Raw genomic sequence first — 25422 nt, 5'->3', positions numbered from 1 at the left:
ACAGTTTACTGAGCAGTTAATGACCACTGGGGAAGTTTCATTCTCTAAGTAAAGCTAGTGGCCGTGAACATTGATCCAATCCGAGATTTTAAGCAGTCCATGTAGCTGGACATTTGCCACAAAATGCACACAGCATATTTAACAATCACGCTCTCCTGGCATATTCTGGATTTTTTGACTTCTGAAATCATACTCTGCTAAAAGCAAGACGAAAGCAGATTATGAGAAGTCCAGAAAGCATGTATTAGGAGGAATACACAGAGCCAACCCTCCAAGCCCCACAAACAATATGCTTTTTTAAAATATAAACAGATAAAAATGTAGGATCCATATGAGATGCATATATATGTACATGTGATCATATAGATGGATACAGATATACACAAATTCCCAGAGTTTACATTTTTGGCTTATTTTCAAGATCTGAAGATGAAAACAGTTCTGTGTGTTTAGAATAGATGACAGCTGGCTGGGTGCAGTGGCTCACGCCTGTAATCCTAGCGCTTTGGGAGGCCGAGGCAGGCGGATCGCCTGAGCTCAGGAGTTCGAGACCAGCCTGGGCAACACCGTGAAACTCCATGTCTACTAAAATACAAAAAATTAGCTGGGCTTGGTGGCGGAGCTGAGATTGCGCTACTGCACTCCAGCCTGGGCAACAGAGTGAGACTCCATCTCCAAAAAAAAAAAAAAAAAATAGAACAGATGGCAGCTGAGTCACATCGGTGTTTAAAAGGTGCAATTCCAAAAGCCTTTCTGCATCTAAAGCTGATAATGATGGTGAAAATGTGTTAAAAACTACAACAAAAACAAGTAGCCATCGGACCAGAAAAAACGGTGCCGAGCAAACGCCTCACTGACTGTCGCTCTTGCAAAGCCACCTCTGCGGGTGCAGAGCCATGAGGACAGTCAGTCCACGACACGGCATCATTGAAATCTGTGAACTCTAGCAGTAGTCAACGTTTCCAAGAGACTCAGCCTTTCCAGGGACTTCTGTTTTCTTTGGACATCCTGTGGAGTGATGAGTCAATTTTTTGTCCTCATTATAAAAACCAAGCTTGGGTAGGGCAGAGCCCCTGACTGAAGCTCTGCCAGCCGGCTGGTTTCCGGGTCTGCTTGGGTCCCTATGACGCCAAAAAACACCAAACCGGTTGTTGGACATCACGCCACCTGCATTTCAATCTCACCCTGGGAGGGAGCTGTTTTGTGTGTCGGGGGCAGAGCTTTGCCATCAGGGAGTCAGGCCGCCGAGGCTGAAGGTCCACCCTGCCTCCTGAAGGCTGGGGCTCTCTGCAGGGCTCTGCCCTGGGCTTTAGAAAGGGGGTGAGGTCTCCTGTACCCATGTCTGGTGCCGTCCTGCCTCAGCGCGGCTTTGAGGGCACAATCCGGCAGTGAGGAGAAGCCCTCGTGTGTTCCGAGCAGGAGTCTGTCTTCCCTTTTTTTTTTTCTCTTTTTTTTTTTTTTTTTTTTGAGACAGAGTCTTGCTCTGTCACCCGTCTTCCCTTTTTATCAGAGAAAGACACAAAACCAAATTCATCAAAAATGAGTCCACTTTCCCAAACAAGATGCATAAAGGGCAGAAGTTTAGACCCAGGAGGTGGTGCCTTAGAAATCCCACCTCTCATGGTAGAGATGAAGAAAATGAAGCCCACCGTTTTGAAGCTCTAGTTGAATCATCCAAGTAGATTGCCTGCAATCCGAATTAAAGCAAGCGTAAAAATCTCCGATGCTCTGTTTTCAGTCGTAAAATAAAAACGTTCCTCGGCTAGCTCTTCACTTATACAGAAAACTTGCCACGCACCTCATTCCCTGTGGAGAACACCTGGAAATGAGAGCTCCCAGCCCCTGGAGGCCCACAGTGGGGGCGGCCTTCCACCCCAGCCTGTGCCTCCTTGAGAGCAGGCCTCGGGGTGTTCCTCAAAGTTATTAGGTCCATCCCCAGTGGGAACTTCTTGCTCAGGAAGAAAAAAGGATAAAACATTGATGTTCCCCGAAAGGAAAGATCTCCATTTGTCCAATATCATATTCCCAGGAGCTCTGAGCCCAGCCAGGTTAGACCCATGATAGGTGTGCAGTAAAATTGGAGGGGTAGAGCATGAATAAATAAGTAAATTGATTGATGGATGGATAATTTATTTTATTTTATTTTATTTTATTATACTTTAAGTTTTAGGGTACATGTGCACAATGTGCAGGTTAGTTACATATGTATACATGTGCCATGCCGGTGCGCTGCACCCACTAACTCGTCATTTAGCATTAGGTATATCTCCCAGTGCTATCCCTCCCCCCTCCCCCACCCCACAACAGTCCCCGGTGTGTGATGTTCCCCTTCCTGTGTCCATGTGTTCTCATTGTTCAATTCCCACCTAAGAGTGAGAACATGCGGTGTTTGGTTTTTTTGTCCTTAAATCATGCTGCTATAAAGACACATGCACACGTATGTTTATTGTGGCACTATTCACAATAGCAAAGACTTGGAACCAACCTAAATGTCCAACAACGATAGACTGGATTAAGAAAATGTGGCACATATCCACCATGGAATACTATGCAGCCATAAAAAGTGATGAGTTCATGTCCTTTGTAGGGACATGGATGAAACTGGAAACCATCATTCTCAGCAAACTATCACAAAGGTAATATTTTTAAAGTTATAGAGACACATGACTCTCTTTTCTACGTCAATAAACTGTAGAGATGGCACTGTGGTAGGCAGCGTGTGCACCTGGCTTTGCTGGGCCGTGGTTGGAGAACTGCCGGAGTTCGTCAGTAACTGCCCTGTGTTCGGCAGGTGGTTGGAGTATTTGGGGTTCCTGAAGGTCGGTCTTCAAGTGTTTAATCTGTGATGAACAGCAAATATCACATTAGCTTTATTTTAGTGCATTTTGTGCCAACTTTCTATTTTTATGATTAATTTCTCTGTAAATAGTTTATTTTTCATATGGGAGCCCTCCTGTGGTGAAAATAATCCCTGGAAAGTGAGAGAAGCTCAGGCCTAGGCTGGAGGCCTGCTTGCTGCTTCAGAAGTGAGACACTGAAATGATTTCTTTCGGTAAATGTTTCTGACAGTTCTTTTTTTCTGTCAGCATCACGACATAATGAATATTCGAATACAGTGTCTTATTGTGGTTAAATTTGCTGACCTTCCAGAAATCCTTCAGGTACATGCGGTATGGAAACAATGCGATATATTCTACAAAGCTTCTCGTGGTAGTAATTTTTGCTCCTATGTTTAGCTTTCTAGATGGGGATCTTACTGCACTTTTACAGGAATAAAAAGGTTATGCCATTGATTGGATAAATCTAAGCTTTGAGAGACAGTTATTTGCTGGACTGGGAGTGTGCCTGAAAGTAAAACTCATTTGATAAGTGCACTTTTAAATCTAAACAGTCTTTATTGTACCCATGTTTGATTTATTTTGAAAGCACGATTTTTTGATCACATACACATATGTGTTATAAACATATATTTAGGAGAGTTGTCTTTTTGAAAACAGTGTCAATAGTAAAATACAACTGCTATTTTCTTAGATTAAAAATGTATAGAATTAAAAGCTACCTAATATTTGTCATTTTATGTTTATGGTTATTTAACTCATTTCTATGAATACGAGATAACAGCAGATAGGGAGGACTTTTGTACCGAATGTGACTGCTCATTTTGAGAATTTCTGTAATTTTTTCATAATATATGGCATCTCTGGTCATGTTTGTATGAGATGTTTTTGACAATAGGGGTTTGCACTGGTTAATGGAAAAAAAAATCAGAGGAGAATGAGCTAGGTGTGGTGTGGACATTTCAAAATCAGAGCCATAGAGCAGAGAGACACTAAAAGGCTTAATGCCATGACACCAACACACTTTAAGAAAAATGTTTTAATTAAGAAATGCATATGAATATTTTATTTAAGTTCTTTAATTGCTACAAAACATTGGAAAATACCATCCCAATTAATAATTTGTCAAGAATAGTGACTCATTCATATTTATGAGGTGATTAAATGTAGTTTTCCCGACCCAGATAGGAAAAAGAATGGCCGGGGAAATGTTGAGAACAAAAGGGAGAAAAAGGACATCCTGGCGGCCCAGGTGGAAAGCTGGCCACAGAACCACACTCGGGGTCAGGAATAGCACATGGAAATATGAACTGTCTCCCTCCAAGTTTCCATTAGGCGACGTGAGAGTTGCATGGCTAATTTCCATGATACCCCCTATCAGCTCCAATGCCTCACTCAGCCCTGAGAGCTGGGAGCCTGACCTTTGGGTTAACTATAATTGGAGCCTTCTCTAATTAGGGAAGGTATCAGCTGACTTTAATATGCAGCAAGATCATTATCATTAGGTCAGAGCTAACTAATTGATGTTTGTGTAGCATAGGATTTTGGATTACAATACACACAGTTTAGCAAAACAAACTAGGCTGACCTGGGAAACCAAATTGCATCATTCTGGGCATTGCTGAATGTAATATCACAGCTTATCCAGAGGGCCTTCGCGGTTTCAGAACCAGCTCTATTATGAGAGCTGGGATTTTGTAAGTTCAACCTCTTGCCTCTGCTGTTAGGTAATAGTAGATGTGGAAGCTGATCTGAGATCCCATCCAAGCCTATCTCTCCTATGTAGAACCTGAGGTTTCGGAACACTCTCCGGGATGCTAGTGCAATTCACTTGTTTTGTTTTGCTTCTCCAGTACATTTTCGGATGGCAGGTACCTGTGCAATTACTATTGCAAATCTGAAATTGTCAGATAAAAATGATTAACCATGCTTTATAAGTTTGGATCAAATTTCCAGCGTCTCATTCAGTGGCGTTTGCATGTAAGTTGAGTCTCTTCTGTTGACATTTGATGGGAAACATGTTGAGATTCCGAAGAGGAAAAAGATAGTGATTTGGCACCTTGACTACCTCGGGACCCCTCTGTCCAGAAGAGAAGAGAGCAGCTGCAGAGGGATGGGGCTGCTGGGGGGTGGGAACTCAGGGCAGTTATTGATTTTGTTGGAACAACCATTGAGGCAAATTACAAAAGAAGATGAAAATGCTGATATTTAGCTGTGCAATTTTAAGAAGACAGTTTGGAACGAGTATTCATCATGAACTATTGGATTTCTTGCTCTGCTTTTTTATAATTCACTGCATCCTCCAAGTACTTGGAGCCACTTTTTATGATATTTGTATAAGTTCTGCTTATTTAATGAATATTTACCTGGAGCCTATAATTCAATCGGCTACAGAAGCAGAGAGAATGACGCAGACAGCAGTGCCCTGGAAGAACCTGAAGTCTGAAGGAGTAGTGGGTATTAAGGTCCAGGAAATTCTGGGTCCTGTGCATCATACAGGGAATGACAGGCTCCACCCTCATGGGGAAAGTGGAGGGTCTCCTTGATGACATGATATTTGAACTAAGATCTGAGGAGTGGCAGGAGCCAGAGGAAAGAGCTGGGGGACAGGAGGAGATAGGGTGTTCTAGGGTGAGCCCTGATGCATGTCCCAATTCCCCCCCTCTCCCTAGAGCTTGAGACTTCAAAGCCCTAACCTTCTGTGACACCTCCACTGGGTTCCTGATGGAAACCCAGAGCTTAGGAAGTGTCTTGTGTCTGGGAGAGCATGACCACCCAGCTGGCAGCTCACACAATGACACTAGGGACTCCCTTTCCATCTTCTCCCAGCCCAACCCCTGGGCCAGTCCTGTCGGGTATTCCCTGACATGTGTGACACGTGGTATCTCTTCTTCTCCATACTCTGCCCTCACCCATGCCTGCCGCCCCCAACCTGGCTGCCATTCCTGCATCCTTGCTGATCTCCATCACTCCGCCCCAGAGCAGCCAGAATCATCTTTGAAAATGTCAGTCAGTTCCTGTGACCCTTCTGATTAAAATGCCTCATAGGCCACAGCACACCTATTAGAATGGCCAAAATCCAAAACATTGACAGCACCAGATGCTGGCAAGAATGTGGAACAATGGGAACTTGCATTCATTGCTAGTGAAAATGCAAAATGGCACAGCTACTTTGCAAAGCAGTCTGGCAGGTCCTACAAAACTAAGTGTACTCAGACCATATGATCCAGCCATTGCACTCCTTGGAATTACCCAACTGGATTGAAAACTCAGGATAACACAAAACCCTGCACATGGATGTTTATAGCAGCTTTATCCGTAACTGCCAATACTATGGAAGGACAAGATGCCCTTCAATAAGTGAGTGAATAAACAAACTGCAGTATATCCAGACAATGGAATAAGATTCAGTAATAAAAAGAAATGAGCTATCAAACCACAAAAAGGGATAAAGAAACCTTAAATGCATATTACTAAGTGAAAGAAGACAGTCTCAGTAGGCTGCACACTGTATGATACCAACTACATGACATTCTGAAAAAGGCAAAAGAGAAAATGATCATTGGTTGCCAGGGACTGGGGGAACGGAGGGATGAATGGGCAGAGCACAGAGGATTTTAGGGCTGTGAAAACACTCTATGTGATCCTGTAATGGTGGATCTGTGCTGTTTGATATTTGTCAAAACCCACAGAATGTACAATACGAAGGCTGAACCTGAGCTTGCAGTCTGCATTCCTGAGGCTTCGTGGCCTCCACCATGGGGTGACCCTGTTCTCACAATGTCTATTGATTGGTCTATTGACCTATCAGTCATCTGGTTCTGTTTCTCTGGAAAATTCTAATACATTAATTCTACAGTAATTAGAATAAATTTTAATACAGTAGAGAAAACTCTGTGTGTGTGTGTGTGTGTGTGTGCATGTGTGTTGTTTATGTGGGGGTAAGGGTATGTATAGACACTTTCTGTATTTTCCACTCAATTATTCTGTAAACCTTAAACTTCTCTTAAAAAAATAGTGTATTAATTAAAGAAAAAATGCCTCTTCTGCTTGCTGTCAGGTGCAGGATGATGTCTAAGCACTCACCGTGTCCCCTGAAGCCACATCTGCTGTGTCTCCTCCAAGTTTGACTCCAGCTCCAAGGACTGACCTTCCCCAACCCAAGACTTCCTCCAGGCTCCTCCCTCTCCAAAATGCTCTCTCCAGATCCTTGAATGGCTAACTTCTAATTCTTCAGATCTCAACTTAGATGTCTCCTCGGAGAGGCCGCTCCACCCCAAATTCTCACTGTGCCCCACAGCGCTGCCGAGTCCCAGTGCCCCTGCTCATGTGCACACCTGGGGAGGCTCTGTTGCTGCCCAAGACAGAGGTTCCAGGAAGATGAGACCTTGTCCAACCCCTGGAGGACAGGATCTCACTTGAAGACCTTGAGGAGGTCCTGGTGAAGCAAATGACAAGTGAGTGAGAGGCATTCCTGTGGCCCAAGGAGAGCCAGGGAGGGCTGCAAGGAGGATGAGGGAGGCAAGGAGAGGAGCAGTGCAGCAGGGAGCCCTACATAGAGCCATGGTGTGGACTGCATGTGGGTTGTATGCAGGCTGTATGGAGACATTGTGTGGGCTGCATGTGGGTTGTATGTAGGCTGTATGCAGCCATCATGTGAACTACATGTGGGTTGTATGTAGGCTTTATGTGGACCATATATAGGCTGTATGTAGCCAGTGTGTAGACTACATGCAGGCTATATGTGGGCCACATATATGCTGTGTGTAGGTTATATTTAAGCTGTATACACCATGACTAGCCAGCACTGGGCATCTGGAGACTCATCCCAGGCCTGCGTTTGCAATGGTCTCATCATGGGTGGGTGGCGGCTATCCATGTGATCCTCTCGATGCCCTGCCCCATGAGCACTTAGGGTGCAACATTGCTTCTTCCTAGGTGATCACACATGCTTCAGAGACAGCTTCCACTATGGAAGCAGCCCTGTCAAACCGAATGCCCTGCAGAGCAAGGCAAGACAAACAAATGCTCCTTATGGCTAAAGTTGAAAACATAGATGATGAGCAAAAGAAGGAAAAAGTCCGGAACCTCATATTCAGAAATAACCACTGTCAGCATTTTAAACTATTCTCACCTTTTGTAATTTCTCCTTTGGAAGTACCACATGAAGACCTGACTTTTGGCCCAAGCTCTGCTGAGCAGGTCACCATGGTAGACCTGGGACCTCCAGTTTCCTATCTGTAGGTTGGAAATCGTGGTGACTCTTAGTGTAGTTCACAGCACGCATAGAAAGGCCAGTGCAATGATGCAGGTGGAAGTGCTCTAAAGATTCTCCATGGATACACGTCATCCTGGGGTGACAATAAGGTGTAAGCATGCAGCCTTTGCTGTGAAGTTGTCTGCAGAAACGTTAACTGACACAACTCCTCTCCATTTTCTGATTAATGGGGGAAAATATGTATAAGGGTTGATGTAAGATCAATGCACAATATTTAAGTGTGCAAGCAAGCACAGGGAAGTCAATGAAAGATATCAAATTTTACTAATTTTGAACAATAAAAGACACTACTTTTCTTCAAGCAACACACACTCAAGCTCATTATGTGTTTCTACAGCCCTTACTCAGGGAGTGGCTGCTGGCAGTAGAAGGTGTCCTAAGATGGATAAAACCATCTCTGTCGTCCTGGATCTTGTAATCTCTTGGAGAAATAAGTGGCAAGCATGCCACACAAGTGCATGCCAGCTTCTCTCTAGGAGAAGGTGGTGCCATTGATACTCTCCTGATAATGGGTACAGGCCATGCGTGGCAGAAATAGAACCCACCCACGGCAGTTGCTCTTTCTCTAACTGGCTGCCTTTCCCTAGAGCTGCTCCAGCTGGGAAAATCAGGGCCCTGGGCCACAGGCACAGGCTCCGGCTGAGCAGGAACACACTGTGAAGGTACTGAGGTTGGATGCCAGTCCCCAGGACCACCTACTCGGTTTGTGAGTTGCCAAGCCCATGACATCTCCCGCATGCCATCTTCTTGGTCATCCCACACCCAGTCATCAGCGTGCTGGTAGCTCCTGTTCAAGATGGCAGCCCAAACCTTGGGTGCCCAGAAGACAGCTTTATAAGCAGTTTAACTGCAGGAGCTTCACCAGGTTCCTTTCTCTATGTTCACACTGCACTCTGCCCTCTGAGGCTGTCACTGTAGTTAGAAAACACAGGGTCAACAGTCAATTGGCTGTTGTAATCCAGCCCATTTGGAGACACGAATAAAAGCAGCTCACTTGTTCCCATCAACATTCCAAGAATGAGTGGTCAAGAGGGCTAGGGATAAAAATGGTAATGAAATCTAGCGATGGAGCATAGCTTGACTGTCAACACATGGTGGGCACGTGGTTAGATGGTTCTCAGGGATTAACTCAATGTGGGAACTGTGGGAATGTGCTGGGGGAGATCCTCTGGGGGCAGTGAACTTCTGAGGAGATGCTCAGAGGCTGACGCCTCTAAGTCTGGAGGCTGGTGCTGGCAGTAAGTGAGACTTCAAGCCATGGCCTCACGCTTTACCCCGTGGCTTTTCTACCCATCCAGGAAACTACCTGGGGTATGAACCACCTCATTCTTACAGAGAAGGGACATGCAGATCATGGGCTTCCAGCACCCACCTGGGTTCACACAGAAAGAACAGGAAGGTCAGGGGCTGGGCTGGGCTGGGTGTGATGTGTCCTCCAACCCACTTAATTATTTAGAGGTTTTTTAAGGAAAATAAAAATATATCTTAGAGTTTGCAGATCTGCTTAAGGGGGAAATAATTGTTCTCACCCAGGTGGAATTTTGTCCCTGTATCACAGGATGGGCCTGGCCATTTGTACCCATGCAGCCCTGTTTAGCTCTGAACCCCGGAAGCTGAAAGTGAGATGGAGAAAGGGTGGGCATGGGAGTCAGAGACAAGGAGGACTTTCTTAAGATCGAGTCCTCCACTGCTAGAGAGGTGTGCCATGAGAGATGGTAAATTGCTATTTCCTAGCAACTGTTACTAAGTAGATTTTAAGCTCTGTGTGTATGGAGTCAGAATGTGTCAGGGGAGAACGGGGCAAGAGAGAAAGAGTGAAGGCGTGGGGGCAGCTGAGCAGTGAGAACCTCCAACTCTTGACATTCTTCCTGACGGTAGAGGTTGGTAAGGGAAATACCTGAGTTCTTTTCATGTCCGGCAAATATTCCCAGCATTGCTTTTGCTCAAGGTGACCTCACTCTTTCCAACTGACTCCTGGCACAGGAAGTCGCCTGGAAATCAGACTCCGAGGCAGGGCTCTGCATGGAAACCCTCTCAGAGGGGAAAGGCGGTGAGAACATATGGTCTCATTGCCCAGCCCAGTGCTGAGTGGGGGATTGTGTCATCATCCCCTGTTAAAGGACCCTCCATTGCTGCCACAAAGGCACCAGAACCCCGCTGCAAAGGCCAAAGCCTCCATGCAAGTGCGCCCAGGGGTTCTCCTCGGACAGTCCACCGCAAGCCCACATTACCTTCACTACAGACCTCACGGAAAAGCAGCTCTTAGGTATAAACAGCCTCTCTCCTGCCTGCTGACGCTTGTCCTTGATAAATCAAAACATTACTAAATCCGTGCTGAGGTGCACGAGCGACATAAAGGGCCCCATTGTTCCAGAGCAGCTGGCAGCACACACGCTCGCGGGGCCCATTGTCTCCACGCAGGCACGCAGGGCTCACCCCGCCTGGTTGTCTAACCATCCACCACATACGCAGTGGCAGAGTCACCCCAGCCACAAGGGCCTCCGGCGACCCGGCCGGGTGTGTTAAGATCTGTGAATTAAGATCTGTGTCGGGTTCTCCCCCTCACTAGGACTGAACTCCTTTATTTCCAGTGATAATTGCTACATATGCTCACACATGATTTATTGTTGTTGATGGCAACGTATCCTCAGAAAGTTTGCCAAAGGGCGTTGACTGTTATTGATATGTACATAAAGATGATAAATGAAGAACTGTACCCACCAAATTGCTACCAGTTATGATTAGTTATCCCCTTGTTTTATTTTGTGGGGATTAGGAGATGCACAATCGCCCCGAGTGATCCTAGCATTCCTGTCTGGTGAGCACAGGCGCTGGAGGTGTTCTCACACGTGTACGGTGATGCCAGGCAGCGATCCGCAGGCGATTTAATAAAGACTCCAGCTCAGATTTCAAAAGAGCCAGGCAGACACTCACGCTTTGGCATACTTTGCATTGCTGAGTTTGTGGAGTAGACAATTCCACATTTTGTCCTTTTAATGAGTGTCTCTTATTATTTTAACTCAACGTTCCAGGCAAATAAGGCACCAGCCTGTTGTCTTAATAGGATAACATTTTTCTTAGATTTGGTAATCAGTTTGCTACCCCCATTTACAAAGATTGGACCTGTTTAGAGTCAGCTGGCCCAGCAGGGTGGGTGTCTTTGGGGGCAGGTAGATTGCATTAAAGGACCTAAGGACAGAGAGATTGCAGCCTCCATAGTTGAAATCCCAAAAAGAACATTGAGCTCACTTCAGCAGAATTTCCCAATGACTTTCTTTCAAAAAGGCCTTTCGACCTGATGTCAGTCTTTAAGTGAATCAGAGACCAAATAAGAGCTAATGATGCCTGGTATGATGACTTAATGATATTTAGAAAATCATTCTGTTCTGTTCACTCTAAACATGATGGCCTGTGTCTGTCCTGCCCACTCTACAGGCTTGAGCCATTGAAGCTTAGGAAAGGCCATAACAGATACTTGAGTTGTATGTTTAGGAGTAAATGTGATCATCCTTCCCAACCCACTGGTTCTGTGTATGAGGAGGCCACTGGTTCTGAGTAAGAGATGGGCCAGACCTTTTTTAGGCTCAGCTGGATGGCAAGGGACAGGGCCAGAGAGAGATCTGGAGGCCCTGCCTCTCCCAACATGAGCCCCATTTCAACAATGTGGATCAAGACGACCCTCTTGATTGATAGTGCCCATGTAAAAATCGTCATTTTCTATAAAGATAAGTCACTGTACATCAGAAAAATAAGAGATGTCTCAAGGGATGCTTTCTATGCAAATGAAAGATGAATCACCTTTTGTAGTTCCCGGAATTTAAAAGTCACGCCCAGCTGAATGGAGCTTTGCAGGTGTGGCAGCTCATTGCACTGGGTGGCTTTGGAGCGGCCACGAGGACCGCTAACCACCAGGCTGCCGGTGCCACCCTCTTCTGTTCAGTCACAAGAAAGCCTCCTTGGGTCTAGGATGACGACAACCTGCGTATCAAGAGTGTGCAGCCCATTCCAGGTGCATCCCTCTGTAGACAGGAATGGTACAACCTCCCCTTTACCAGAGAGGAAGCTGAGGCTCGGAGCCATAAGTGGCTGATGGAGGTTCAGCATCTGGTGAGAAGGAGGGTTGGTTCTCGAGCCAAGGCCTGTGACGCATTTAAGAAGATTCAGGCCAGGTGTGGTGGCTCACGCCTGTAATCCCAGCGCTTTGGGAGGCCGCGGATCATGAGGTCAAGAGATCAAGACCATCCTGGCCAACATGGCGAAACCCCGTCTCTACTAAAACTACAAAACTTAGCTGGGTGTGGTGGCGTGCGCCTGTAATCCCAGCTACTCAGGAGGCTGAGGCAGGAGAATCGGTTGAACCCAGGAGGTGGAGGCTGCAGTGAGCCAAGATCTTGGCACTGCAACATACAACTCAAGTCTCTGTTACAGCCTCTCCCAGGCTTCAATAGTTCAAGCCTGTGGAGTGGGCAGGGCAGACACAGGCCATCATGTTTAGAGACTGACAAATGGGAGGAGAATTTGAGACAGTCTGTGAAAGTAAGGTTGAGAGAAAAGAGAGCTTAAGGAAAGCCCACATCCGAGTGGTGAAAATCACTTTTTTTCTACATAAAATCCTACGAACCCACCACACTCCTCAGAGCATCGAGTAGTGAACCAGCATGGGATGAGAAGCACCAGAACACGCATGCACCCCCGGGCCTCGATGCAAAAAGTAAACAATGAGTTCCCTTGAGAGACAAAGGGGAAAGGGGAGGCTCCAGGGAGTCCGCGGGCTCAGCCCGGCCTGCAGAGGCAAAGCTGCCCACACCCACCACCCCAAAAGCTCAGGACAAATGCTTCCCCAAAAAAACTGATGGATCCAGGAATTCTTCGTTTACCCAAGGGCATTTAGGGATTGCATTTTCTCTTCTGCTTTTCTCTCCTAGAATCAAGGCCTTCCTTTTTCTAGAAATTAGATAAGTAAATGCAAGCAAACACAGAAAGCTTGCATTATGTGAAGGTTTTGATCATTTCTGCAATCATAAAGGACGGGAGAAGAAACTCTCCCTGGACTGAGGACCTAGAACATTCCCCATCCAGGTAGTTTTCTGTTTCTGCAGAAGTAATTACCGCCAGCTGTGCAGCACTCATTTAGGATCTGACAGCTCTGGTGAGTCAGTCTGGGCAGGCCTTAGCTGGGTCTTCTGCCCGAGGTTTGTCTAGGCTGCAGTCAAGGTGCCTGCCGAGCTGCATTTCCACCAGGAAACTCAGCTAGGAAGAGGCTCCCCAGCCGCGGATGGTGTTGATGGAACTCAGCCTCCTGTGTCTGCGACACTAAAGCCCTCAGCTCTAGAAGCCACCTCTTCCACACGCAGCTCACAGCATGGCTGTGTGCTTATTCAAGGCCTGCAGAGAAGTGTCATTCTCTTTGCAGAAGAGCCCAGACCCTCTTCTAGGGTTCTCACCTGATTAGGTCAGGCCCACCAAAGGTAATTTTCCTTTTAATTGATTCAAAGCTCACCTGATTTGTGACCTTAATTATAAATGCAAAATGTCTTCATCTTGGTCATATGTTCTGGGCTAAATTGTATATTCCCCACAAAATCTATATGCTGACGTCCTAACCCTCAATACCTCAGAATGTGAGTGGATTTGGAGGTGGATCCTTTAAAGAGGATATTACAGTTATCTGAGGCCATGTGGGGTGGGTTCTAATCCACTATGGCTGCTGTCCTTATACAAAGGACATATTTGGAGACAGACATACAAACAGGGAGAACGCCCCATGACAGTGAAGGCAGAGACTGGGGTGATGCTTCCACCAGCCCAGCAACAGCAAGAGTTGCCAGCGACTACCAGGAGCTGGAACAGAGGCCTGGAGCAGATTCAGAAGAGGAGGTCAGGACACAGACACAGAGGACACGGAGAGAAGACACTGCCTACATGCCCAGGAGAGAGGCCTCAGGAGGGAATGGCCATGCTGACCCCTCACCTCTGGCTTCAGCTCCAGCACCGTGAGACGACAAATCCCCATCGTCCAAGCCCCAGGCTGTGCGGCTGTGTTGTTACGGCAGCCTTGGCTGAGGAATGCATCCTACAAAGTCACCTAATCATCATGGGATCAAAATCCCATGCCATCCACAGGTCTGATCACACCCCAGGGGAAGGGTGTACTTGGGCCTGGACATCAGAGGCTGCAAATCTTAGGGCTCATCTCGAAGCTCCCGCTGCCTCACCCTCCATGTCTCTGAAGTGCCTGTGGGCTGCACCACTGGGCTACGCCAAGCCTGACATTCGAGGTGCCAGTCACCACCATGGGCCAAACCCCTTCTCCCCCTCCTCCTCCACCTGCAGATGTGTGCCATAGACTGTGACCAATAACCACTGCAGGTGAAGATCCCAAGGCACTTCCACAACAGATCCAGACATCGGAACAGATGCCTCTGCAGTGAGTGCTGGGGTGGAACTATGGCGGGTACTGCCTGGGGTTTTACCAATTGTAAAGTTAAGTCATAGGATGGTTAAACAACATTTTGCAAGACGATGTCGTCAGTTGGGGAATGCTGGGAAAGAGGAGACAGTCTCTAGGTGTGTTGCTGGAAGCCGTGGAGGAGTGGGCAGTAGCTACCTGTGTCACGTGTTACCTCTCAGCAAGCATGCTGAGGGACACACCACTTGTGCAGGGCACAGGACCCGGGACACCTTCCCCAGGTCAGATGCCAGGGCCTGTGGCCCTCCACACAACCCGAAAAGCATGGGATGCTGGAGATCTCACCATGACACTCAGGACACCTCCTGTAACAGCCAGTGTCCCCCAGGGCCCACTTAGTAACCTGCACATGTACCAGTGACTAAGATGTGTGGGCCTGAGGGTCACTGCAGCCCTGTGGGGAGAAGGCCTCTTCCCAAAGACATGGCAGAGCTGAGCTCCCCAGGCCCCCTGGAACCACAGGAGCCTGCAGATGCCCAGGAACTGCGGGGTGTGGTGAGCTGCATGGCGTTGCAGGTGCCAGGTGACCGGTGTCAGAGAAGAGCATTGGTCTTGCACGATAGTTGCCCTCCACACAAACTCAAGGCTCCCAGCGGGTCGTTGTCCTCTACAGGACCCCAAAGCCTCCCGCAGAGTCCACACTGAGAACAAACGTCTCCTGTTGGGAGGTGCTTTTCTCAGCCCTGGGGTGGTGCTTTCAAGCATCAGTATTTAGAGAATAACCTTTAAGGGCTATTCTCTGGCCAGTGTGGTTCCTTCACATGAACTGGAGTGGTGTTCACAGCCGAGGAGCGGGACCTGCGAGTGGGCAGCGTTCTGGACCCCCAGCTCCATGCTACTGAAGCAGGCCGGGCTCGTTCTCTGCCAGAACCCCCGATTGGGGATCCCCCAGAGCTGCTGTGGGTCCAGTTGGTCTCTCCCCAGCCCTCAGTCAGTAACTCCGAGGCTCCCAGAAGATCTAAGACAGGAGCGACCCCTGTAGAATTCGAAGACTCTATGTGCAGGCGGCAGGTGCTATCCTTGCTGTGGAAGCCTCCCTGGGAGCACCCTGATGGCGGGCAATTAAGAAGGGCCTCTGGTCTGGAGCCTCGTGAATACTTGGCACCTGTGTGTGCGGAGATAAACTGGGAGATTTATCTGCACGGGTGGGCAAAAGGCAGCCAATGGGCACTTGTTCTGTGAGCGCAGATACCACTGAGATAGCAGTGCTGGAAATAGGCAAATGAATATCTCCGCTCCCCCGCTGCGGGAGCCTCGGCCACTGCGGGAGAGCTCCGCGTCCTTCTGAACCAGGAGAAGCACGGGCGGCAGACGCTGGGGAACACGTGCAGGCTCAGAGTGCGGCTCTGGGGACGGCGATTTTCCAAGGAGAGTCAAGATGACCTTCCACTTGCTCACCGCCGCCAAACGAACCTTTCTAAAGCACCCCCATCACGGCAGCTGTCCTGGCCTGCAGCGGCTCCAGGAGAAACCTGGGATTCTGGCGCAGCGTGCACGGGTTCCCTGCCCACCCCCAGCCCCTCACCCACACTCTCCTCCAGGGAAACGCGGCCTGGGCCGCTCCGTGCCTGTCCTCACACCCGTGCGGTTACTCCTGCTCGCCCCAGCGCCCGAGGACCGCTGCCCCAACGCTAGTGAAATCACCCCTACGTCCCGTTAATCTCCAGCTCCTTCGAGATGTTTGTCCTGACTCTTCCACCTGTGTCTCCTGGACCAGGGCACACCACTCGCTCAGGTTTGTTTGTTTTAATCTCATTTTGGTTTTTTATCACACTGATTTATTTGCTTAAGTCTTATCTCCTTATCTAAATCATAAATATACTGTTGAGTTGTGAATTCTGTACAATATACCATGTTTTAGAATTCATTCGTATTCCCCCACAATGCTTGGTGTATTTCTCGGTGAAGTTAATGATAAGCATCAAATGGACGTCATTGGATAAGATTCAAAAGTTCATTGATCACCCTGTTGGTTGACTCTCTTTTATAACAAGACTCTAAATCCCTAGAAAGTGCCAGAATTCACCTCTGGGACTTAGATTACTCGGGAGGCAACCCTAGTAACTTTAGAGACTTAAAGTATTTTAGCAGAGCTTCAAATAACCTAGACTAGATTAGCTCCCCATTGTAGATGCCTGAGTAGGCCAGAGACTGCATTCCCTCTCAACGAGTTCTCACAGATATGCAGAGAGATGCAAGATACCGAGATGAGCCTAAAAGACAGGGCTATCAAAAAGCAATTTTTATAGAAACTGGAAGCTTCCTCTTGTCCTTTTTTCCTGCTCCCTTTGGCACTGTTCGGCATGCTGGGAGATAACGGAGAAGGCCCTGGAGGGCCGCTGTGGCTTCTAAAGTACACAGCCAATAGGTGGTGGCTTGGGGGCCAGAGCTGAGCTATGGGGACCGTGCCTGCCTCTGCGTCTCACACCCCTTGCTGCCACCTGTGTCGGCCTCTTGGTGTCGGGGCAGGGCCAATAGTCAGAGGCCCCCAGCCCTCCCTGAAGGTGGCAGGGCTGGGAGTGGGGGGCACGTCTCTACAGTGCCAACAACCCTCTGATCTGCCGTTTGGACCTGGAGGAGAGCAGACAGCAAGGCCAGGATGCCGTGCATGCCCCACGTGAAGGCAGCTTTCAGTAAAGGAAGACCAGAGGCAGCGAAGGCCAGTCCAAGAGCCACCCCAGGCCCTGCCAGCCCCACACCAGATGAAGGTAACAGGGCCAGAGACTGTGGGCCTGGGCGGCTGGGCTCCTTCTCCCAATAGAATAGCTGAAGCTCTTCCCACAATTCATGTATCAAGTACTATATTAACAGTTCACCGATAGACCAAGAAATTAAAACAATCTGGGGCAAAAGACTTTTTAAAAGAGCTAAAATGAAATAAAAACTGAAAAAACTTCCCAACTGCCTTAATTGCGGTAAGAATTAGACAAATCTGTGGAATCCAGAGTTTTCACCCTGGCCATTACAGGAGATCCAAAGATAAGAAAATGCTATTTGGTGAAACTCACAACAGACCATGTGGCCTGTCACTGAGAAATCAGACCACAGAATATTCCTGTACCTTCTTCCCTTGCTGTGCAGTCCCAGAGAGGCTGAATAACTCTTTCTCCTGGAGAAACTGCAAAAGATGACAGCTGCCCTGAATTAAGGCATAGATTTCCCTTGGCAAACAGCACCGGAAGGAATCAGCACTTTTTTTTCCCGGGGTTGGAAGGGAAATGAGATCACATTTTTGTTATTTTTAAAAAATGTCTTCCTGTGTTTAAAATATTGCTCAGAGTAAAGAACACTCAAGATTTTATTAGCATCAAAATACGAAGAAAGGTCCTATTTCTTCTTCTTTTTTTTTTTTTTTTTTTGAGGCAGTCTCTCTGTCGCCCAGGCTGGAATGCAGTGGCGCGATCTCAGCTCACTGCAACCTCCGCCTCCCTGGTTGAAGCAATTCTCCCGCCTCAGCCTCCTGAGTAGCTGGGATTACAGGGCCCGCCACCACATCCGGCTAACTTTTGTACTTTTGGTAGAGACAGGGTTTTTCCCCATGTTAGCCAGGCTGGTCTCGAGCTCCTGACCTCAGGTGATCCACTCACCTCAGCCTCCTAGAGTGCTGGGATTACAGGCGTGAGCCACCTGGCCCAGCAGAAAGCTTCTATTTCTAAAGGACCAAGTTTATCCCAGAAAGTGCTCATTAAGATGGAAACTGGGCTCAACTGACTCTGAACTTGGTCAAGGTATTTTTTTCCTTTATTTCTTAAAGGGAAAGATGCTATGGGATGGTCTGTTCTCACTAAGGCTGCACCTTTTACACATGCTCTAACACTCAAAGGAGGGTTTTATGTTAAGAACAGAGATTTAAGCCGTCAGTGAAAAATTAGATGAAGAAGGAAAAAGTCTTGTTAACAGTCTTTACATGTGATTGTCGTCATTTTAGCCTTGATCATGTGTTTTAGAATATGGGGTTCACAGACACAGCCGGGGTCTCTCCTAATGGATGCTTCCAGGGGCTAAGGAATGGAGATGAGGGCCTCTCCCTGCACATACATTGTAGGCCCTGCTCTTCTTTGTGAAGCATCCTGGAGGCTTGGGGGTGTCTTCCGACATAGAGGGGGCTCTCAGTGGGGTGAGGAGCTCATACTGCAGACCCTGAAGCCACAGGATGCCTGGGGCTCCTGGGATTGAAGACCCCTCTAGGGAAGTCAAAGTCTTATCTTCTGGGCCCGCCCTGTAAACGGCATCTTGGTCAAGGCCTCTGGTGGGTCAGATTGTGTTTCTCAGAAGTATGTGTTGAAGCCCTAACCCCTGGTACCTTGTGAATGTGGCCTCATTGGAAGTTGGGTCTTTGCAGATGCCATTAGTTAAGCTGAGGCCACACTGGATTAAGGTGGTCCCTAAGGCCATGCCTGGTGTTCCTACAAAGAGAAGACAAGACAGAAACACAACAGGGACACACAGGGAGAGACAGCAGAGGCAGCAAAAGGCTGATGCTTCTGTGAGGCAAAGGCAGCCCAGGACAGCTGGCATCCCCCAGGGGGACCTGGAGGAGGCCAGAAAGGGTCCTCCCCTGGGGCCTCCAGAGAGACCTTGGCCCCAAGACACCTTCATTTCAGACGTCTGGCCCCCAGAACTGTGAGAGTACATTTCTGTTGCTTTAGGTCACCCAGTTTACAGTAATATGTTTGTGCAGGCCTAGGAAACCAGCACAGACCAGTTCTAGAAATTCCACAACCTTAGGCAAGTCTGTCTTCTCTGCTCTTGTTGGTTTCTTTAAGGTGGTTTTCCTTTTCTACACCAAGTTTCCTGTCCTGGGGGTGGACTCCAGCAGGTGGTGAGGGGTGGACTGCACTTACCATCAGCTCTGAAGCAACATCTATGCAGTGTGGGAAAAAAGAAAACAGATGTAATACTTAAGTTGGCGATCCCCAACACGGGACAAAAGAATAATAAACAACAAAGTTGTATAGAAAAGATGCTTATTAGATAAATGATGTTTTCCTCATTTATTTTCTGCCAGAATCAGCCTCTTCACTTTGGAAATGTTTCAGTTATCCTCAACTTTTACCATTCATTATTTTTCTTACAGTTTTTTTTTAAAGTATGTACAGACGGAGAGCTACTTCCCCGCGTGACTAAAGTGTGCCTAGGGCAGAAGGCAGAGGCTTTCCCCTGGGCCCTGAGTGGGGCAAGAGTGTGAAGGTGCTCAGATTTCTTTTTTTTTTTTCAGGGTTCTAGAACTAGAAATACCATTTGACCCAGCCATCCCATTACTGGGTATATACCCAAAGGAATATAAATCATGCTGCTATAAAGACACATGCACAAGTATGTTTATTGCGGTGCTCAGATTTCCACCACAGTTACCAGATAAAAACAGAGATCCAGGACACATCCTGGCATCCTGAGACTTGCGTCTTGTCTGAGTCCCATCCTACAATTTATTTTTCCTAGACTCCAGAGCCCCTGAACTCAGCGCTCCCCCTCCCCTGACCCCACCACACAGTTTCTGCAGCACTTGAAAGGTCCCGAAGACACAGACAGTTTCCTTTCAGCAGCCTCAGGTCAGGGGGAGTGCTAGCAGGGCAGCCCGGGGTCAGGAGAATGCAGTCCGGCCTACGGGGGCAGGGGGCCGAGCATATTGTTCCTGGGAGCAGCTTTTCTCAGGTCCCGATCCATCTTCATTCCCGCAATTAGGCTCTCCCGAGGTGCAAAGAAAGTGTTGCTATGACACACATTGGCAAATCAAGGCAAATTTGAGGCCTGGTCATTTAAGTGGTAGTTCCATTGTTCCTGGTTGTGTAATTGGTGATCAAGAGGGCCATAAAACTGCGGGCAGTTAAAGGGCTGGGGGAATTGAAAGCCAGCCCTCCACCCCATGCCCGCTTCTAGGCGAGACTGTAACTTTCACCCTCCCATGAACCAGAGTTTATGGAAAGGCCCCATGACAAGCCTCTCGCTTAACCTCCAGAAGGAGGGGAGAAAAAAAAAGAAAGGAAAAATCAAAACTAAAGAGAATTAATGAAGCTTCACATATTGTCCGGTTTCCTTTGTTGTTAAAAAAAAAAATCGGGGTGAAAACAAAGTAAGAAGAGAGTGCTGGAAGAGAAACCATTAATATCGGGTTGTAAATTCCACAAAACATTAACTTCCTTGCATGGCAATCACCGTTGTAACTGGCAGAAGGGAGATTCCACCTTCTCATCACTTACCGGTTGTGCAGGAATCAGCACTTTCTGCTTCTGGCAGAGGTCACACCCCGATAACGGGTCCCAGTTAATGTGAAACGGGGAAACCGTGGCTTCCTTTGCCAGTGCACCGGGGCGGAGGATCGTTGTCACTGGGTCTCTGTTTTTGTTGAGGACCACACCTGCTAATGTGCACAGCAGCAGCCCCGTACCCTGGGGTGTGTGCCTGCCTGCACTCAGCCCTGGTACCCATTTTCCCCCTCTGGATCTTTTTTTTTTTTTTTTCAGCAGTGCTCTACAGACAAAGCTTGGAAGTTCACCATGTAAAAAGCACAGGTTTTATTTATTTATTTATTTATTTATTTTTGAGAAATCATGGCAGTTTTATTTAAAATTTCAAAATTACTTGAGACAAAATTTAAGTCATGTATATAAATATGAAGATGAACATCGGTGCTTTCAACACTGACAAAATCCCTGAAACTATATAACATATATATATATATATATATATATATATATATATATATATATGCCGAGTTTCCTATTTTTATAACATAATTTAAAACTAGATTTATAAAAAAATTTTGTAGGAAAATATAATAGTTAATGATTTGAGTGTTCTCAAATATATGGCTCTGAAGGTCGACTACTTAAGTGTTTTTATCACTTAATCCATATACGATGCAGCAAAGAGACATATTAATTATAACATTTTCCTTCAGTTAATAGTTTATTTACTGTCATAGAACTTCCATGAAAGGTCATCACCTAAGGAACTCTCCAGGTTAGAGTCAAGCAAATTCTGTACTTGGTCAAAGAAACATGAAAATGCCAGGTTGTGGCACAATGAAACTATCTATCTATCTATCTATAACCCAAAAGGTGGTATACACCAGATAAAGATAATCTTAACTAAGCACCGCAGTAACTTTTTAGGCAAGTGGTTGGTACTACACTTGTGAGAACTGTGATTTCTTTCCAACTAAAAGATCACAAGCTAAGCCTGAGGTTAAGCAAGTTCTTTGGATTGGATTGGTTTGGATTTGATTTGGTTTGGTTTCATTTCACTGTGTCAGAAGTAGTTCAGAGTCATCATATGGAAAAAACAACCAACAAATAGAGTGTTTGACGCATACCTATGTGCTACAGGTATCTCAGCATCTCCAGGGCGCCCTTCTCCAAGAAACCCTGTGCATTACACCATCCCTGCAGCCCAGCTCAGAAACCCCAGGAGGAGTGCCTCCCCACAGCCGTCTGGAGAGGTCTCCCTAGGAAGAGCTGGGCCACTTTTGAGTGGAGCCCATGCAGGGCCCATGGGAGCGTTGTTTGTGGGGGAAGAGCCTGCTCTGGCCCTTCAAAAAGGAGGCCAGCTCCTGGAGGAGCCGTCTCAGGATGTTACCTTGGACCATGCGTGGGGGTTTCATCTCCAATGCAAGTTAGGTTTTCACACGTGATCAAGGTTAGAATGACATGAGAATGTCAAGTTTTCTAGATACTCACCTAAAGACTATAGGTTTTTTAAAGAATGCAAGCTGTGTAGTGAGTCATAGCTATCTATTTGTATACTACCCCCAAAAATGAGGGCTTGCTCTTTTTCAAAAAAAGAAGTGTCAGACCCTTTTCCATTCCTTATATTTAACTTCCCTGCCCACCTTCTTGTAAACCAAATACTCAAAATTACCTTATTGTGTTCACTTGAAAGCTAGAATTGCTGGGCTGGATTTAGGAGCCCTGTTGATGCTGCCTGCACTGTGCTGGGCTCAGCTATCTGTGAGAGCCCCTCTTCTTCCATGCTTCCATCAGCAAGCAGGCACGAGAGCCTCGCCATCACACCAGGCCACAGAAATGTAGGAAATGCCAGTGTTGCCCTGGGAGAACCTGGACATGTAGGAACACACATGTGCAGGTGCGCTCACACACACACCCCAGAGTGACACACTAAAGGATGAAAACCTACATAACAAGTCATGATCAGAAAGCTTCTGGGGAGAATTTGAAAGGGGGATTCAGATTTCGGCAACAGAGAAGACTGAGTAAATATACCTGATTCTCCTGCTCCAAATGCACAGAAACAGTTAACAAAATATAATTGTTGAAAATTCATAGGTGATTCCTGGAATACAGTTGTGATGGCTGGAGCTCTAGGCACTATCTTGCACCACAAGGATCATTGTGAGCAAACAGAAGTGTAGGTTCCTGAAGACCTAGTGGAATAGAAGTGCCACACCATTTCAACTGCTCACTTCTGGACCTTACCTGAAAGAAAAATAAACTTCTAATTTGTTTATGCCATTAAAAAATAGAAATACAAGAATTTTCAAAACTAAAAATTCATAGCTAAAAATACATTTGGAGAAAGCCAGGTAGACAGGACATCTCTCTATTATTTTGTGACTTCCTTTGAGTTTACAATTCTTTCAAAATATAAAGCTTAACATACACATAAATCTCTGAGCTCAAAGGAAACATCTTTACTAGGAAGGGAATTTAAAATAAAAAGGAAATGTAAAAATTGAGTTTAGGCTAAATGTATGAACTTCCACTGCAGTGGCCAGGTTATCTGGCACAGATATCACAAATCAGAGGCTGGGCTTTCACAAATCAAGGTGCTTTAGCCTCGGTCCCAAGTAAGACAAGGATCTGATACTGAAACTCCCACATTAATGCATAACTCATCAAGTGTTGCCGCAAGAGAAAATAGACCCACTGCTTCAGAAAAAACAAAAACAAAACAAACAAAAACAAAAACAAAAAAAACCAAGGTGGCATGATATTTACCTAGAAATTGTTTAAAGAAAAGTCTCTTAAAACTAAGTAAACCCCAAGCCTGTCCCACAAAACTATGTGGGGCAGCACTTTTATTCCCCGTGAACTTGTGTATCCAGAGCTGAGCCAGCTGCAAGACCTCAGAGAAGCTCATGTCTTGCTCCTCTGTGGGGACGTGCACTGGGCTGAACACATACTGTTACTCAAAACAAGCCAAAGGGAAACAAAACTGGGAAAAAATAGCATGCGAAGCAAAAACCAGCCAAAAAGTGACCCCAAGAACTGCAAGTTTTTGAATAATCAAAAAAATTATAAAAATAAGAAAAACTATCAAAGAGAGAAAATGATATGGTAATTCCTCAAAAACTTAAACATAGGATTACGATGTGATCAAGCAATTTCACTTCTGAGTAAATACCCAAAAGCATTAAGAGGCAGGTCTCAAAGAGATATTTGTACACCAGTGGTATTAGCAGCATTATTTGCAATAGCCAAAAGATGGATACAACCGAAGAGTCCATCATCAGATGAAGAAATAAACAAAACATGGTCTGTCCATACAATGGGATATTACTCAGCCTCAAAAAGGAAGGAAATGGGGCACATGTTACAACCTGTATAAACCTTGAAGACATTACTAAATGATATAAGCCAGAAAGAAAAGCACAAATATCATATAATTCCATTTATATGAAATATCTAGAGTAGGAACATTCATAGAGAATGAGGATTAGAGGTTACCAGGGGCTGTGGAGAAGGAAAGGATAGGGAGTTAGTATTTAATGGAGACAGAGTTTTAGTTTGGGATGAAATAAATGGTGGTAATGGTTGCATGATAATGTGAATGTATGTAATGCCATAGAACTGTGCACTTGAGTGTTACATATTTTAACACAATTTCTGAAAAGTTATCAAAGAGAATAAAGGAATAATGAGAAAAGCCTCAATGAAAGAATATGACAGTATAAAAATGTAAGTTTGCATCATTCAAGGAGAACAATTTTTATACTATAAGAGTGAAACGAAGTTGCCTGAATTTTTAGAAATCCCCTACTTTCCAATAGGGACAACAGTAGCTAACACCGATAGTGCTGTGGTGTGTTCAGTGTTTGACGTGTGTGATTTCATAACCACACTAACCTTAGAAAGTATGCACAATTAATACTCCCAGTTTATATGTGTAGACACTGAAGCTTAAACAGGTGAAATATTCTATATTTCTTAATACGCTATATTCTTAATACATCTATATTCTTAATACGCTATCTATATTCTTAATACGTATCTATATTCTTAATATGCTATTAAACTGAAATTAGAATTCAAATTGTTCTGGCATTAAGCCTTAAGTCAAAACAACAGGTGAGGTGGGTGTAGCACAGTCATCCAAATAGGGACCATCAGCCCTCGTGAAGCTTTGCCCTTTTTAAAGAGTTTTTATAAACATTTCTTTCCCCGAATTGAATACAGAAATTTAATTATCTAAGCCAGGGCATAGTTAAAAATAAAAGTGAGTTTAGTAGGTAAAGGCAATAGGGGAGTGGTGTCAGACCCATGATAAGACCACGTGACGTTGGCTGTAGCAAGGACCTCAGGGGGCTCTGCAGAGTGGAGAGCAGTGGCCAAACATATTCTCCAGACCCAGCATCGAGCCAGGTGCTTCAAAGGTGCACGTTTAGCTCCTTTGGGGCATAAGTATCTTTCCCTTTATTTTGTAGATGAGAGAAGCTGAATGTCTTGTTTATGACCAGAAGACTACCTAAGTGGCAAACTGAGAATGCAGGTCTCCTGAGCCCTGGAACAGTTTCCTGCAACACAAATGTTCAGACTAGGACCAAATCACTGGTCAGAAACTTACAGTGGGCTGACTGAATGTCCCCAGACAGTAGGACC

General features: G+C 46.1%; 3 annotated features.

The window, feature by feature from the left end:
- Nucleotides 9748-10947: an enhancer, noted in NCBI's record as "MED14-independent group 3 enhancer chr5:3310881-3312080 (GRCh37/hg19 assembly coordinates)". NCBI's record gives its function as "activates an origin of replication core promoter dependent on BRD2, BRD4, P300/CBP and CDK7 cofactors, and independent of MED14, by STARR-seq in HCT116 cells {active_cell/tissue: HCT116}" and the evidence as "EXISTENCE:reporter gene assay evidence [ECO:0000049][PMID:35650434]".
- Nucleotides 19674-20173: an enhancer, noted in NCBI's record as "H3K4me1 hESC enhancer chr5:3301655-3302154 (GRCh37/hg19 assembly coordinates)". NCBI's record gives its function as "activates a minimal SCP1, AML or CMV promoter by ChIP-STARR-seq in naive H9 embryonic stem cells {active_cell/tissue: H9 hESC(naive)}" and the evidence as "EXISTENCE:reporter gene assay evidence [ECO:0000049][PMID:30033119]".
- Nucleotides 20174-20675: an enhancer, noted in NCBI's record as "H3K4me1 hESC enhancer chr5:3301153-3301654 (GRCh37/hg19 assembly coordinates)". NCBI's record gives its function as "activates a minimal SCP1, AML or CMV promoter by ChIP-STARR-seq in naive and primed H9 embryonic stem cells {active_cell/tissue: H9 hESC(naive and primed)}" and the evidence as "EXISTENCE:reporter gene assay evidence [ECO:0000049][PMID:30033119]".

The sequence above is a fragment of the Homo sapiens genome, chromosome 5 (genome assembly GCF_000001405.40).
Source record: "Homo sapiens chromosome 5, GRCh38.p14 Primary Assembly".
NCBI lineage: Eukaryota > Metazoa > Chordata > Mammalia > Primates > Hominidae > Homo > Homo sapiens.
This window is presented reverse-complemented; position numbering and strand designations above follow the sequence as displayed.